Below are 18,670 nucleotides of genomic sequence, written 5' to 3'. Positions count from 1 at the left end.
AAAAGGAAGGGGGAAGGGGGAAGTGGAGGGGAAGGGAAGGGAAGGGGAAAAAAGAAAATGGCACCTGCTTCCCTTGGCAAAGTTTTGTTGGTGGTCAATGTGGACAGCTCGGAATGACCTTTGAGATAGTTGTTGAAATCATGGCTGCTGACATTTTCACTAAGCCATTCTCTAGAAGCGACTGGGAAGTACTGGGTTGCCAACTGGGACACAATTGGAGAATAAAGGGGCGACAGTCAAGCAGATATAAACCCATTACTTAAACTACTTACACACTGCCACAGTAGTGAGTTGATTGAAAATCAAACCATGCGTGAGGAGTCTGGGTGGTAACCCCTGTGGGATGGTAAGACTTGCAACTCTTTTTTTTTTTCATGTTGGGGCTTGTGAAGGCCTAAGCAGCTCTCCTGTAAATTCTACAGAACAGAGGTTACTGTAAGCACTTTTAAAAATAAGGTGCAAGATTTTGCACATCATTGTGAGCCATTGGCTTAGCCACTGAGGATCTTACTTACTTCAGTCTTGTTAAGAGCAACCCAAACTGTTTATCACTACACAGTACAGAGAACTCAAACTGTGTATCTGCGTCCCACTTCACCTCCAGATATCATACTGGCATTCAGGCAGGAAAAATTTGGGAAGAAGATAGAAGGGTGTGGTGGTTAATTTTATGTGTCAACTTGACTGAGGTAAGGGATGCCCAGACAGCTGATTAAACATTATTCCAGGTGTGTCTGTGAGGGTGTTTCCGGAAAAGATTAACATTTCAAACAGTAGACTGAGTAAAGAAGATCTGGCTTCACCTATGTGGGTGTGCATCTTCCAATCCATTGAGAGCCAAAATAGCACAAAAATATGGAAGAGGAGTGAATTATCTCTCTTTTCTTGAGCTGGGACAATTCATGTTTGCCTGCCCTTATACACTGGAGCTCCTGGTTGTTGGGCCTTTGGACTCCAGACTTACACCATTTCTTCACCCCACTCCCTCCCACCTTCCAACTGGGACTGGGAGTTACACCATAGGCTCTCCTGGTTCTCAGCCCTTCTGACTCCTGACTCAGTGAATTACATCTCCAGTTTTCCTGGTTCTCCAGTTTGCAGACTGCAAATGGGAGGACTTCTCAGCCACCATAATCAGATAAGCCAATTCCGATAATAAATACCTATACAGATGGATCTATTGACCATACATATATACATACATACACAGATCCTATTGGTTCTGTTTCTCTGGAGAACACTAATACAGAGGGATTCCAAATGTCTGTAGGTTTAGTCAGAGAACAGTGATTGCCATATCCTGGGACACACTGGTCCTAAAACAAAGGGAATTCACTTTAAGCCCAGCACCAATTATTTATTTATTTATTTATTTATTTATTTTATTTTATTTTTTGAGAGGGAGTCTCACTCTGTCACCCAGGCTGCAGTGCAGTGGTGTGATTTTGGCTCACTGCAACCTCTGCCTCCTGGGTTCAAGTGGTTCTCCTGCCTCAGCCTCCCAAGTGGCTAAGATTACAGGCGCCCATTACCACACCCAGCTAATTTTTGTATTTTTAGTAGAGACGGGGTTTCACCACGTTGGCCAGGCTGGTCTCGATCTCCTGACCTCATGTGATCCACCTGCCTTGGCCTCCCAAAGTGCTGGGATTACAGGCGTGAGCTACCACGCCCAGCCTAAACCCAGCATCATTTTAGTCTTCTCTCAGCCTACCCAGGCTGGACTTTCTTGTCAACTCTGATCTTTTCCCTCCAAATGACCTCATTTCAGAGAACTTCTCACCAAATGGAGTTGTAAGGTGTTCATAAAATAGCACATTTACCTGCTGCATGTATCAGATCCTGGAACAGTTCAGCTCCCAACGGCCTTGAAACCACAAGTCATTCTTCATCTAGAGACTAAAGGACCAAGAAAATAAACCTTGGTTTCTCAGTAAATAAACTATGTTTGCAATAAAGAAACACTACTCTCCCCTGAGAGTGGTATCCTATAATTACAAAGCAAGAGGTACACTTTTTCAGACATAACTGGGATCCTCTCACCTTCATAACCAGAAGTTATGCTGACATCATAGAGCACAGGCTCATCCTAGTAGAAAAATCTACACAGAAAACATCTGTAAGAGCGTGTAATAAATTGTTAATAGTGGTTACTTCTAGAGAGGGAGATGAAGTTGGGAGATATGTGAAAAAGATGTTCGCAATTATTCTACTTACTTCTTGCACAGTGCATTTGGAGAAAAGGAAGTCTGTACCACTGTGGACACCTGCAGTGGTATCTGCAGTGGTAAAGTGAGTGGCTCACAATGATGTGGAAAATCTTGATCTTTTAAAGGTGTTTAGTATGTGCTAGGCCCATTGGAGGCTATGACTCTACACCTCACACAGATCCTGCCCTCAAGCAGAAGTGGTGAGGCATGAATGCAAAGTACTGAGATACACAGTAGAAAGCGGTTTAATAAAGAGCCTCAGAAGAACTGTTATGAGAATTGGAAAGATAATTCCTTCCTTCTGAGGAGAATCAAGGAAGGCAGAGAACATCATGCAAGAGATGGAAAAATATGAGAATGTATGAAATGCTTAAACACAGTGCACACTTCTACTTATTCTTTAACATCTAGTTCCAATGTCACCTCTGCAGTGAAGACTGCCCTTTTTCTCCTGGAGTTCAATTGCTCTGACCCATGATTTTTGTTCCTACCTGAATACTAGCCAATTTTCCTGTTTATAAATCTTCCTCTATTAGACACTAAGTTAAAGGCCAGAAGGCATTTTATATATGCCAGTACATACACACAGCCTCACTCTGGCATCCATCCTATCCAACCATTCATTAAATGTATTGAGCTTTGTGCTTAGGTGTTGTGGGGCGGGGCGGGGGGGGGGGCAGTGACATGCAAAATTGAGTAAGATATAATATCTACCATTGAGGATAGTAACCTAAAAATTAATACTCCCAGCACTGTCTCATAAGTACCTTGACAGAAATCACACATAGGGCTATGGAAACCAAGATGATCAAAATTAAAGAGGATGAGAGAAAAAGGTTTCCTAAAAGAGATAGCAATTAAGGTTTTTGGTTTTTTTTGTTGTTGTTGTTGTTTTTTCAAAGAAGGTGGAAAGAGGAATAGAGTAAAAGATGGATTTTATGTGGTAGTAACAGCATCATCTCTTCAAGAACTATTAACAGGCATTCGAAAATATTTCAATGATCCAAAGGACGATCAGGGTAGAGTCTGGGGAATTTGATTCCCATCTAAGTATTGCCTTTTTGACATAACTGCCATTTTTAAAAATAAACCCAAGGTTGACCTATGATTGTAAGAGAAAGCTGGTGAAGTAATTTATCCTAGAATCAGAAAGAACATGCCCACCAACTTATTTCCTGATCACTTCTAACAAGGATTTCAGTGCAGTGGCTCTTTGAGCAAAATAAACATGTCACTAGTTATAAAGTAGTATCATCTAAATCAATTCAGATTAAAAATCTGAGGGACCCTTTTGCCTGGAGAGATCTGTGCAAACTTCCACTTTTCTTACCAGCTAGAATACTTTACTGCTTGGTAAACAAGCAACTGCCTTCCCCTCTTCACCTAATTGCGTCCCTTAAGATCAAATGTCATCTAGGTAACTTTTGCTTTAATTCCACTTGCAGGAGAGAAGACTTAAGGAGCAAATACGAAGTTAATTAGGGAGTAGTAAAGTGGTTCTTTGCAAGCATGAAGAGATAGAAAACCCCTAAGATTCCGTGAACTGGAAGTATTGCTTTGGTTTGCTATAACCTCCGCTGTTAAAGGAGTAATACCCCATATATTCTCTGTTTAGGTGTTGATTTTTTTTTTAAATAATAGTTTCTACTAAAACAAAGAGAATTTTTTTAAAAGCAAGTAACTCAATCTCTCAAAACAAAAATAATGAAATATAAGCTCAAAACATTAAAAAAGTAAAAGAAGCAAATATTCTGAGCTTAAACTTTAAAAACATATTTTTAAAAGTATGAAATGAGTTTTCTATTTTTCTTAATTACTTGCTGGAAATTTTCACGTTAGGTATTATGTCCCAAATAAGAATTCAAACCCATAAGCAGGTCTGACGTAGGTGACCAATGATACTTTACAAAGTAGAAATGAACATAAATTATTTTCAAAAAGATGATATTTTGTTTATTAAAATTAAACCACAATCTGTCTCCTGACATACAAATAACTGAGAAGTTAAAAGATGTTGCAACCCCAACCTAATTTCACAAGTGTTGTTTTCATCTCCAATCTTGAAAGGTTTGTCACATAAACAGTTTAGTGAGGTCACAGTCATGATAATATGCGAATCTTAAACTGATTTTGAAAAGGATGCATCACAGGTTCACACTTCCACATCTATACAACTTTATTAACAAGTAAAATACATGCCAGCATGTTTTATATATGGGCAAGGACATTCCTATGATAATGAATGGCACATTATCATCTAACAATTGACCTTTATCAAATATATGTTTTCATATGACTATTTGAAGAATTAAATAATAAACAACTAATAAATGCTAAAATAACATTTAACAGCAGTTAAAAATATAAAAGCCATTCAGTTTAGTATTTACGATAAGCTGGAATCATTCAAATACAACTATTAAAAAAAATACTATTCCTCTTCTACAGGCCAAATGGTTCATTAGAAAACACTGTGGCAATAATAACTGGCTCCTGCCCTTACCCCAGTTCCATCCCTCAAAGGGCAGTGGAGCTAAGGTAGTTGCTTCTTGGTACAGTCTACAATTATACACAGGATGATCATATAACTTATCCTCCAAATTAGAACACTTTTGAGAGTACGATGAGGCACTATTAAGCTGAGAAAACAGGAATAACCAGGACTCTTTTGAGCAAACTAAGGATATATATTACCTTAGTTAAGTATGGTATCACATTCACTATCATTACTTTTTGCACTTCTTGAAATAGTACATACTAGATGAAAAAAATTATATTTAATGAAGGAACTCTGAATTTTTCTCCAATTGGATATTTTGAACTCCACTTTTCCTGTTAGGAGAGGTTTTACTGGAAATAATATTGTTTTAGCAGGTAAAAATCTGTGAACAACTTAGAAGGCATGTCTAAAATGAAATATATCTTATAGACTCAAAATAGGCTAAAGATTAGTATTTTTTCCATTAAGCAGAGATTTTCATTTTAACCAAATGTAATGGGATTTGTATTTTAATCTAAGTTTCTAAAATCTGTCCTGCATACACTATATAGAAAAGTGTTGTTTTTGCCTTAAAATTCAGTTTATTGCATAAATACATGAAAATGGATTATCCTAGCCATGACTAGCTTATTCATTTACAATAGAAATAATTTGAAATTTTTTTGTATTAACTTCCAATCCCCAGTTCACACTCAAAAATGTTTAGATACCCTAACAAGAGTTTTGATTTTTCAATCTTTAAGGCAGAGTGCAAAGATGATCAAGCATCCCCAAAACACAACAGCAGCTGTTCAAGCTCACAGGAAATGAAGTATGCAGGATTTTATATATCTGAAGGGAACATTAAGTTCTTGAAAATAACATTCTGATTCCCCTGCTTACATGATGAGATTTAAGGCTACCATTGAATTATGCCAATTATAGAGGATTCAGTAATATGTATACTTGAACCTTACAGATTTGGGGGGAAAAGTCAAAACAAAAAGTGAAGTTTTGATGCTGGATCAAAAGTAACATGTATCCATATTCAGAAAACAAGCACATATACCATAAAAGCTAAAATGAAATTTTAGTAAGTCGATGTTTGATAGCTAAGCTTCCTAGTAATTATTTAATTACCATGTAGCAAAGCTTAATTTCATTTAAAAATTATTGAAAGAATAAAGTACAGGTCTATAAGAAATTAATATGAAAGAGATCCAGCATGAGTTTGAATATGTTATTAGTACAGTTTAATTTTAATTAACTTCCAAATTAGGCAACTAAACTAAATATTTTTTCTTTACCCCATGCTACTGTCTTACTTCAAGGGGTGTAACACAGGTACTTTAATACAACAATAAAAATTTTAATATAACAATAAAAATTCTACGCAGGAAAGTAAACTGAATGAGACAAAACAAAAAATAGGCTATATTAGCAAAACAAAACTGTTTTATTTATCAAAGACAATGAAAAAATTAGAAAATACAGAAGAGGTTATAAAGCATAATAAATTTTATTTTTTGGAAATGGAAAAATGTCCCTGAATAGTTAGATGTACCTTTTAGTAGTAATGTCTAATAATAAATAAGAAATCAATTTTATAAGGTCCATATAGCTGTATTAAATAATTTTTAAGTTTAAAAGATAAAATACCATCATTTTAAATGTTGGTATTCAAAACCAAAGATATAACCGAAAGGAAAAACAGATGAGACATAAAATGATTTGCAAGATGGGAAATATAGTAGTTTATGAATGTAAATTAAATTCCAGTTATAATAGTGGCTACACACTCTCACTACACACACAGACCCCACAGTCCTATATGCCACAAACACATTTCCATAACTTGAAAATGAGTATTTTGCATATCTCAGTTCAGGATATGTTTTTTACAAGTTAATCCTAAAGTCATAAAGCAAGAAGCTATTCATAGTACAAGATTTTATTTGCTAAGCTTTACAAATTAAACTCTAAAAAATTATTACAATGATACTGAAAGATATTTTATTGGCCTTTTAAAAGACAAACACAAATGAGAATTATCTTATTTAGAAAATTAACTTTGAAAATTATCTTAAATGAAATAAATATAATATCTAATACAATCTCTTCCTGCAAGATCTCTTAAGATGGGCAATCCTAAAAATGCAGCTTCCCATCTGAAAATCCCTAAAACTAGTATGTCCCTTAAAATAAAATTTATTTTTCTTATAAAGGACATTTGGTATTCCCACATTTTCTTAAAATTTGTCCTAAAACAAATTCTATCTTTAACACTCACGTTTCTAAATATATATATGTGTGTGTGTATATATATGTGTATACATATACACATATATATTTAGTTCACTTAATTTAAAATTAGTGAAAGCTATCTGGACACAATTTCTAAGAAAACATTGCAGAAAGTAAGTTATGCATGGTTATTTACAGGAAGAGTTTTCCTAAATAATAATGTAAATATCATGTTCAAAAATCTGACAAATCCTTTCTAATAATCAGCACTGCAGGTTTCAATACACCTTATATAACAAAAGATGTTTCATGTGTAGAACTGCCAGATGAGTCTAAGAGCCAGAAACTAAATCATTTGACATGGTTAAGAATTTCATTTTTATTATACTAAATGTCAGGTCAGAAGTCAATGGCATTTACAAGCTGGAAGACTGTTTATCCACTCAACTCTTTCAATTATATCAAACACTGATTAACCAAATGTGACTGGACTTAACTGCTACAACTTTATGGTTTCTATCAAGTATATGCAAATATCTTAAATGGGCACATATGCATATGTGCAAAACAAATGAAATATAGATACTTAAAGAATGAACAGAAATGGCTTGTAAGCAAAAACCACCCTGCCATTCAATTTCGAAACTCCGTCTTTTCTTCACTAATTTGTCTTCTGTTATTAGTAGTCTTCTATTAAAGTTGTAGGTTTACAGATGATCTGGAAATTTCACATTGGTATAAGAAAGGAATGTCGGGTTGATGCAGTCTGGAGACAAAGAAGGAATTAGTCTTAAAATGTATTAAGTTGTCTTTATCTAAATCATAGTATAATACAACACATTTTATAGAAGAATTATATTAAGTATATAATATTCTCTTCATTAAAGTCTACATATCAGAATACATTCTAAAGTGTAAGGCTTCTATAGCAGATTTTCATCTAGAAAATATTTGCATTGTATTTTAGACTCTTCAAAATGCATAGAAGACAATCACACAAATTAGTAAAACAGCAAAATTACTTTGCCTTTTAATCTTATTATTAATACTGACAAATTCTTAATGCCAGTGTCTGCAAAGATATTTTGCTTGTTAAAATAAAAAAGCGACTTCTTTGGGAGTGGTTGGGGGAGACTTTAGTAGAACACTTAAAATGATACTTTAACATGATCTAGAAATACAAATGTATTCATAGTACTCTAGCAGAAATAAGTAAATTATATAAGCTTATGTATAACTTATATAAATGATAAAATGTAAGCAACCAAATCACAAAGCATGCAGTTTATTTATTTGAAAAAAGAATACTTAATAAACTTGAAACACTTTGTTCCTTATAGTCCTGCATTCAGAAGTTAAGTACTAGTAGACATTTTGGTAATAGAGTTCAAATGCTTTATAAGTTTACCTTATTTATAGGTATAAAGTACATGGTACTTGCTTTAAAAAGTAGAATAGGGAGTATGAGGTTACTTTATGTGAAGATACTCCCGCTGAACAATAAATAAATACTATTACTATACCCACGACCTCCAGAAATTCACTGGATAACCAGTAAGACAACTTCTACTCATTTCTTCATATTCCTACTTATTCAAGTTGTAGCCTTCATAGTTGATAAAAAATCAGCACACATTAAGAAAACAATAACAGAACTATTTTCTTCACATGACTTTTATTCCTTAATCCAGACTGTTAAAAGGACTGCAAGACAAATTGTTTTTCAATCAGATTTTTTTCTCCACCAGATGTCTATGTGAATTTCATATTGTTTTAGACAAAAATGCTCATTCCTTCGGTCTAAGTACTATGTCATATTTTGTTTTTTCAAGCCTTCAAATTTTGTGCTGGTGGTTACTTCATATACATTCTATGGTTAATCTTTAAAGAGAAGTTTTAAAAGTCTGATTCAAAATTTCAGTTCACTCGCTATGTATTTTAAAAATTAAAATTTATGAAATTCAATTTTAAAAATCTAAAAGTTATCTAAAAAGGTCTATGACTTATCAAATTTCAATAAGCTGACTGTTAGCAGTATTAAAAAATATTAAATATGCTAACAGTAAAAATCATGAATACACATTAGGCATTTAATATGTATCTGGCAAATTTGAATACATAAAGGGAATAGGCAGAGTTCACAGATTAATATTTCTTACCTCTACAATAAGAAGAAATACCTTGTTCTATGAGCAGCTGCCATACTTTCAGACATGTTTCTGACTTTTAGATAATTAACAAATCCTCTGAAGAAAAGGAGCAGGCCTGAGAAGGTTGAAATAATATGGATATACTATGTTTTTATACAGAAAAGGGCAAGATAAATTTAAAGTAGACAATTATAAACAAGATCCTCTTGGCTTAAGGAATTTTACTTGCAGACTTCCATTCATTTCTGTAATATATTTTACACTATAAGGATAAACTCTGTCACAAGGAAATACAATTTTTCAATTTGTTAAGCCTAGATGTACCAAAATTAAAGCAAATCTAGCTATAAAAATCCAGAATTACATAAAAATATACATTTAAGTGATTTTCTTCAATAGTAAAGTTACCTGACGCACTTAAACTGATTCAACTCATAAAAACCCCATTGAACCCATGGGCTCAATCTTTTCAATTAATATAACTACTGGGTGAACTAAGACATATTTATTTATATAAAGTAGATAAAAAGGAAATATATACATGAGGTTACTAACAATTATGAGGAAAAAAACAATAAGCCTGTATAGTAATATCAAGTGCCTGTCATCTGTGAAATCTGTATTTGAAGATACGTGCATTATGTACATATTTTTAATTATGAGTTCTTATTTTGAAGTAATAATAAAAAACTAACTTATAATAAAAAATTAAGATGAGTTAGAAAAGACAACTTGGAAGACAGTCACTCTAATGATTTAGATTATTTGGGATACATCTTATATCTACCTCAGTTTTCTCCTTTGTAAAGTAGTATTTTAAAATAACAACCACAAATATATTTAATAATTTAAAAAGCAATACCTGTAAAATTCTCTAAAGTTTCACATAAAAAATATTAGATAAGTATAAAACATTACCATTACTAGTATAAGCCTTTGAAATACTTAAGCATATGATTCTTAGGGAAACATTTATTAACTCCAGCAAATTTTTAACCAGGAAAACAGGGTGGGGGGGATCCAAAAACAAAAACAGAAGATATCTACTGTATGTGTATGACTTTCCTCACCAGGAGGAAAAGGAGTTTGTGAATTTAAAATATGAAGTCTCAAACTAAATTTGTACCCCAACTGCAAGACAGTAATCAAATCACTAAAAACAAGAAGCATGTGTGTAGTAAATTGGAGAGGAAAGACAGAAGAGAGATACAAATGATGACTTAAATGGTATAAATTACAGCTAAACCCAATCGCATCTGCTTCCCATATCCTAACTCCCTCCTTTTGGGACTCCTTCTGAATTCCACCCTCATGCCCTTCCAGATGCTGTTCAAAGATAATAATACTGTTATCCAAATGTAAAAATATTATTGAAAAATGTAAACCAACTTATTTGTGGGATCCCTTCCTTTGTCTCTAAAGCTGCTGTTTTCTAACACACATTTTACTTCTCAGGCATTTTCTAAAAGAAGCCACCCAGTTCATACCTAAAAACCAATCGCTCAGTGGCTACTGTTTCTCAGCATTCTACAAAGTGCTCAACATTCTTTTCAGCATATGTGAGAGCAACATTTTTATCACTGATTACATTTTCACATTCCCCTAAATAAATAAACACTAGATTATGGCTCTGAAGTGGAACTGGCATTGTCCTCTGTATTCTACTCTGCCCCACACTAACCTCCTTAAGATTCCTCCAATCTCTAAATAATATATATATACACACAAATGTACTCATTTAATATGCTTAAATACTTAATAGACTTTATAAACCTTCTCACTTTTAGGTAAGAAACTCAATAAAGAACACGGCATTCAGGCAGTTAGAACACATAATATAAAACTGGCTTCACCTCCAGATGCATCTCAACAAAGTCACAACACTAAAATAATTTCAATATAGCTATTAAAGAATTAAGTGACCTTATCTGACTAACAATAATTTGTTTCCCAAAAGATCCTAAAGATCCAACAGTATGACTAAATAAAAACTCAGAGAGAAGACTGCCACCTACTGAAATGCTGTTATTTTCTGGTAAAATTCTGAGTGAAACATGGGCTTTTACTCTTAACTAGAAACAAAAGGTATTCCTTATGTCAGCAAATACATCTGAAATGTGGATTAAAGATATAATGTGATTTAATGATTAACTTAATTATCTCACATTGAAGGTAAAAAACAAAAGGGAACAAAAATTGAAAATCCATAAAATTCCATCAATATTAATAAAAAGACACGTCTTATAGGAAGACAACTCAACAGAAGCACTGTGATCATTAGGCATAAAGCCTTTCCTTATGCCTGGCTGATTAATGATTAATTCAAGGCACATTTCAAAAGCATAAAGAATGTTTCCATGATCAAAAAATAAGAGAACAGATAGAACAACCAAACTATCCAACTCTCAAATTTCCTAAGATCATTAAAAGAAGTCATTTGTGTATGTTTTCTGAGATAAATGCTAAAGACAATTTTTTATCACGTTGTTATTTTAAAATTTTTTAGCATTCAATTATCATCCCGCCACTGACTCTTTACACTGATAGCCTCTGGATTTTAAATCTAAGAAATCTGTAGTGCTATATAGAATAGTTTAAAAACGTGAGATGATGTGTTTGAATATGAGAATTTTACAGAAGAAAAATAATTTCCACATAAATTGCAACACAGTTTATTTACATCTTACAGTTTTTGGAAATATCCAAGTTAAACTAAATGCATTAAGAATAAACTTACCAAGTACAAGAAATATCCACCAAAGCCAATACTGTCCATTGAAATATCCAGTAAAATAATCAGAAAACTATGGAGTGAACATAAATATATTAACCGAATTCATACACCTGAATTTGAAAATCATAAATTATCTTCAGTTTCATAATGATTTACTTCAAATAATCTTTAACACTTAAAAATGGCACAAAGGAAAAATAAAAACACTTAATGGCATACACAGCATACACATATATAAATTATTTGAGAAAAAATCATCTTATGCAATAGCAAAAAAAAAATTGGAGTATTTTTAGAAACAAAAACCAGTTTCAAACTCCCCGCAAGAAACAGTAAATGCTGTATGTCTGAATCACACATTTTCTTATTAGAAATTTCACGTCAGTCCTTTTTTCATAATCTCTCAAAACCACAACTACCATCCCAAACACACTACAGCAACCCGCTGCTTCAGATATTAACACCAAAAGCCACATTAGTTTAATCTTATCAGATGGGGGTGTTCTGCTGACCTCCAAAAGAAGAGCTTTTGACCTTCTGTACACCCCCTACTGTTAATCACTGCCAAAAATACTAGGTGCATAAAGACCCCCATTAGAGTCTTTTTATTTTCAAACTAGATGCTCTAGCATTCAGTTCCCAACAGAGAGCTGAGAACAGCTAAATGAACCTTAAAGTGGCATTTCAACAGTTCCTATTAGTGGCCATGGTAGACAGTTTTATATTCTCCGTGGTGTGGGAATATGAACAGGCAGATGGAAGGCAGAATTTGATGATATTGGACACAGTTATCCTTTCCTTGATTAGACTCTAGACATCACACTTCATTAATTTTAAAAGGTTTTTTAAAAAATCAATCTAATTTTCTTCAGTTACTTCAGATAACTTTAGCACCTAAAACAATGCCTCAAATGATTACTTTTTAAAAAGTGTTTAATATAACCTACTCTAAAACTGTTAAAAATTAGCTTGTGTTTACCCACCCTGTTTCCACTGGTCTGCAAACTGAATCTGATGTAACTAAAAATGATTCCACTAAATGCAGACTTGCTCTCAAATCTAATACTAACTAAAAGTATTTGTAACTTTATAAGTAAAGATTTCCAATTATTTGTTGGTAATTTCTATATAAGCTTAAAAATCCTAGGCTGTGGCAAAAATAAAAAATGCTTACAAATTGTAAATAATGTTATCATTTAGTAAGCATATCAAATAAAGATTATCTAAGTCTGTTTTTTATAGCCTTTTAAGTATTTTCTCAGGAAGTATTTCCAATTAATAAATAAACCATTTATAGTAATTTCAGTATTTATAGTAATTTCATATTTTAAATTTTATAGTAATTTTTTAAAATTTATAGTAATTTCAGAGATTTAAAATTTCAAAGTACTACTAAAAACATAAATCCCATGTACACCTACATCTTTAAAATATATGTACAATGAAGGAGGGACTTGAAATTGAAAAGATACAGCTTATACAGGATGGTACTATACTATTTTTTAGTCAAGTGATTAACAGTTAGAAATACAACATTTTCATATAGGTCTTAAAGGCTGTAAGAACAAAAAAGAATAAAGAACAAAGGCAATACATTTTTTAAATTTCTGCGTGTTACCCAGTAACAGGTAACCTGAACATCAAGAACAGTCATTCTTCACCAAAAATGTTTACCATAAAACTAGTTCTTATTTACTCCCTAGTGAAAAATATAATTACCTTCACCCTGATGTCAAAGAGAAGGATTTGCTATGTAAAAAGGATAAAGAAATGCTTTTGGACTCATTACTGTGTTAGCAAAAATGTTTTAAAATACTAAAATCATAAGCCTAAGCCAACTGTTGTTTTTTTCATATAAGTAAACCAATCATGTTGATTGGCCAGTCACAGGCTAGAGAAATCAAATTTTGGAAAATAAATTAATGAACATTATGAATTCATCTGATTTTATTATATTAATGTAACATCACTATTTCATTGTTTACATCCTGTCTACTTTCAAAATGTACTTTGTTAGTTTTTAATAAAACACATATGTATTTTTAACCACATAATAAAAAACCTTAGATAGAAGTAGTATCAGAAGGCTAGGCTAAAGATATTTACACAAAATCCGAGGTTCATCGCAGCTCAGATACAAAATGGACAGCGGCAGTATGATTTATAAATTACTTATTGTCTAATGAAAGGGAACACCAGGTTTTTAGGAGAAAACTTTTCTCTCAGCACTAAACTCTAAGAGGAATGTTTTACTTGGAGCATTATAGTAAAAGTCAAAGTACAGTGTAACAGAGGCAGTACAGAAATAGGAAAATAGGCAATGAATTGAGACCAAGGTAGATGTCAATTCACATTAAAAACTGTGAGACTGGCCTGGCGCGGTGGCTCACGCCTGTAATCCTAGCACTTTGGGAGGCCAAGGCAGGCAGATTGCCTGAGCTTGAGATCAGCCTGGGCAACGCGGTGAAACCCTGTCTCTACAAAAATACAAAAAATTAGCCAGGCGTGGAGGCATGTGCCCATGGTCCCAGCTACTTGGAGGATGAGGCAGGAGAATTGCTTGAACCCGGGAGGCGGAGGTTGCAGTGAGCCAAGATGGCACCACTGCACTCCAGCCTGGGCGACAGAGTGAGACCCCGTCTCCACAAAAAAAACAACTGTGGGACCTTGAGCAAATTATTTGACTCTTTTTATTCTTAGTTTCATCACCAATAAAATGGCTAGATCATCACCAGCATCAGAGATACAGTTAAAGTTTGAAAATTCGTTGCTTGTAACAAATTATGCCTGGCATACACTAAGGGTTAAATGAATGGCAGTTATTGTTATTTTATACAAAAGATTTTTTTAAGTCCTTTTCTTATAACACTTCTTAGTACACACTAAAGGCATAACATTAACTCTAACTCAGTAAAAGTATTTTAAGGGAAACTAAACAGTCCTGGTGATCAAACTTGATGACAGTATTTACCTTACAAAACTGTAAGAAACTCTAGTCTTTGAATTTAAGTTCCCCATCTTATCACATCAACTAGAGGTGATAACTAGATAATCTAATCCCTTCTCAACCTGAGGTTCTTATGAGAAAATTAAGCTGTAATACTTTAAGGACATAAGTTGTATAAGATGCATTAACTTCTTTCTTACACATCTAGAATGATACTAGCAATTTACTAACAGGGAGAATTGAGAAAACAGTCCTCATATCATTTTCTATGTTCTGTGATTTAGATGAGAAATCCCATTTGAATAATAGTGCTTAATTCTATTAGTATCATAATCAACATTGGACTTATCTAGGCCCAACTTTGAGGTTTTTTTAATAATAATTTCTATAAGGGAAGGGACTGTGCCTTTATCTTTGTATGTTCTGTAACAGCTAATAGATTTATACTTGTGTTAGGAACCCACTGTACATCTTTTGCAATAAAATTAAAACAAGAAATTGTCAGGGGATAGTTCTAATGATGGCTCAAATTTTAACTATCTTAGAAGAAACCAGTCCATAGGTCCCAACCAAGAATTAACTGATTAATAATCAAAACCTATGGATTACTGAAACCCTGGAAAGCTATAAGTTTTAAAATAATGAAGAAATGCATTACATCCATAAACATTAATATTTTCATAGTGGGTACTTTTAAATCAACTTCATAATATATATTATTAAAGTGAACATTTAAGAGAAGCTAATATATTTGATCTATGATTCTACTAAAAATTTTAGGAGGATTTAGCTCATTCAATTAGAAATCAATGTTTAAATGTAGAATGTATGTATTTTAATTTATTAATTGTATAACAGCATTTAAAATGTGTAGGTAATTTTTCAAAAGACTTATTACAACAGTAAGTAAAGCACTCTTGATCATTCTCCTAGATCTTACAGTTAAAAAAAAAAAAAACTAGGAAGAAACATTTGTAAAAAGAAGTCAAAAGAGGCCTTCAAAAGGCTGGGGGATGATTATGCGAACAACACTAATGCCTATGCAATTTTTACAGAAAACTATCTGGAGACTAGAAAAGTTGTTAAGATGGGGAACTTGTCTCCCTACGCACTATCTTGTAAATTATAAGAAGGCAGGGGGTGACTTCAGGGAACAACAGGAAAATAAGGAAGGTTAGAAGAAGCATGAGGGAAAAAAAGAGTTCTGATAACCACTTCACAGGCCTTCACTTTTGAGCTCTCAATGTTTTCAAAAGAAAACAGTGAGAAGATATTTAAGGTCATGATAATGTGACTAAACGAGAAATTTTTATGTTTTAACTTAATTTAGGCATACCTGCACTATATCACAATAATAGTAGCCATGATTTACTGAGCACATATATTTGTGCAGTAACTGGATAAGGTACTTTAATTACATTATTTCCATACCTCATAAAAATCCTACAAGGCAGCTATTATCAGCCTATTATAAAGAAACTAATGCTCAGAACAATTAAATAAAGTTAAGACATATAAAAAAGATGAGATTCAAACTTAAATTTTTATTATTTCAAAGTTCTTTCCACTATATTAACAACTTCTCATATGATAAAGTTATAAAGTGTTCATACCACAGAGCTCACTATAATGATTAAGTATAGGATTTAAGAATAAGCCTTGAAATAACTGAATTCATGAAAATAAAGTGACCATTTATGAACCACACAGAAAATTTCATACATCTCATTTTAGAGATAAAAGAGATACAGGCTATCAAGACACTCACCCTGACAATAAGGATCCATTTGATCAAGGAAAGGCCAAATCCGCAGATAGCACCATACCTTCCAGCTATGGTATTGGTGATACAGAAGGATAAACAAAATCCAAGCCAGTTGAAAATAAATGCCACTAAAAGCAACAGAAACCGTTCTTTTATAAACCACAATTTGGAAACAAATTAACATAGACATATTAATAATATTTCATGGCTCAATGGAAACAGCAGCTCCCTTTCTTTTAACTCTGCCAATTAAGCCTTCTTTATAGACTATAGCCTACTTTTTGCAAATGGCTTATTTGCTATACTGTATATCAACAAATGGGTAAGCTTGGTTTCTTGTCAGTTTGGCCAACAGGAATCCATTCCTGAAAGCTTATCATTAATGGTTGTAACTGCAGTTATAAACTAGCTTAAAACCAGATCACAATGTATCTCACATGTGGTTCCACCCAAGAAGTCCAGCCTAAGCAATCAGCCAACAAAATTGGCTTTTTAAAAAAGGTAAAGCAGGCCAGGCACAGTGGCTCATGCCTGTAATCCCAGCACTTTGGGAGGCCAAGGCAGGGGGATCAGCTGAGGTCAGGAGTTCGAGACCAGCCTGGCCAACATGGTGAAACCCTGTCTCTACTAAAAATATAAAAATTAGCCGGGTGTGGTGGTGGGCACCTGTAATCCCAGCTACTTGGGAAGCTGAGGCAGGAGAATTGCTTGAACCTGGGAGGTAGAGGTTGCAGTGGGCCAAGATCACGCCACTGCACTGGAATGTGGGCAACAGAGCAAGACTCCGGCTCAAAAAAAAAAAGGAAAAAAAAGGTAAACAAAACAATAAAATTGAATACTTGACAAATACTTTATGGGTTTCCTCAGCTGTAATTACAATTCTTAGATGTTCCTTTTCTGAATTTACTTATGCTATGTAATGTCATGTAAAAGCTATATAAAAAACAGCTTTTTGTGGACAGAATAAGACATCAATGTTTTGTTTTCCAAGATGTGTCAAGATGTGTAGTGTCCAGATAACCCCTTTAAAAACTGTAACTTTTTGACTTGTATATGGTAGGTGCTCAAAAGAATAAACTGAATAAAGATGCTTAACATCAATTGTTAGGGAAATAAAAATTAAACCACAATAAGATACCATCACCAAACTATTAGAATGTCTGAAAAAAAAAACAAAAAACAGAACAACACAAAAAAACCATCAACACCAAATACGGGCAAGGACACAGAGCAACAGGAACTCTCATTCATTGCTGGTGGGAATGCAAAATAGTACAGCCACTTTGGAAGACAGTTTGGCAATTTCTTACAAATCAGAATTCACATTTCAAAACACCCTTCTAATTATTTTAAGGTTACAAATACCTTCTCTTTCTGTTTCCCTCAAGTCTAAAATGATAATAATGCAGGTGATTACTTATTATCATGGCATGCTGATGTGAAGATTCACACACGGTACAAATGGCTAAACCTCAGAAGAAAAGTTTTCTAAACAGGATCAAATAAGAGCCCATTACATTTTGAAGTACTAAAATTTAAGGTCATTTCCATAGACTGTCAATTATCCATAAACTTTTCATTTCTAGTATTTGGCAAATAACCAAATTCTGTTCCATTCTCTTAGAAAATTTCTTAAAAATAAGATCAGAGATATGCACATTAGGCATGTATCTGAGGCATTTTATGGTAACACTTTAAAAGGATTTTGAGAAGCAAAAGCATTATTACAAACATTTCTTCTTTTACATTTTCTGAACAAGAATATGCAATTATCTTACCAAATTTAAGTGTAAACTTTTTTTAGGTTATGTGAGGTAAAACACTGAAAATAAAGAAGGAAAGAATTAAGCCACCAAAAGGTTTTAATTGAAATAGTCTTATTGATATTCACTGTAATTTTACTTGTGCAAGTTATATAACCTGAAATGCTTAAGTTATAATTAAACCACACTAAAAATAAAATCTATTTCTGGACCTTTTTACCCACAGTAGCTATTAGATATTTAAGAAACACGGAAAATATAGCAAGTTGCAATTTGAAAAACAGCCACTAGATGGTAGTGATGACAAACAAATCTATGCTTATCAAGCAAATAAACTCTAGGCCTATAGCCTGCCAGAAAAAAAAATCAGGAAATACA

General features: G+C 33.3%; 1 protein-coding gene across 3 annotated transcripts in view; it reads right to left on the bottom strand.

The window, feature by feature from the left end:
* Positions 1 to 4,137: 4,137 nt before the first annotated feature.
* The window catches only part of NDFIP2 (Nedd4 family interacting protein 2), a 74,923-nt gene continuing 60,390 nt past the window's right edge, over positions 4,138 to 18,670 (bottom strand). For 2 of the 3 annotated variants that reach the window (NM_019080.3, NM_001394685.1), the window contains exons 5-8: positions 16,533 to 16,657; positions 11,821 to 11,887; positions 9,093 to 9,198; positions 4,138 to 7,699 (exon numbers count right to left, since the gene is read on the bottom strand). In NM_019080.3, the coding sequence (NP_061953.2) occupies positions 9,095 to 9,198; positions 11,821 to 11,887; positions 16,533 to 16,657 (296 nt within the window). In that variant the 3' untranslated portion in view covers positions 4,138 to 7,699; positions 9,093 to 9,094. The remainder of the gene's footprint in view (positions 7,700 to 9,092; positions 9,199 to 11,820; positions 11,888 to 16,532; positions 16,658 to 18,670) is intronic. The other variant, NM_001161407.2, reaches the window with a different exon arrangement.

The sequence above is a fragment of the Homo sapiens genome, chromosome 13 (assembly GCF_000001405.40).
Source record: "Homo sapiens chromosome 13, GRCh38.p14 Primary Assembly".
NCBI lineage: Eukaryota > Metazoa > Chordata > Mammalia > Primates > Hominidae > Homo > Homo sapiens.
This window is presented reverse-complemented; position numbering and strand designations above follow the sequence as displayed.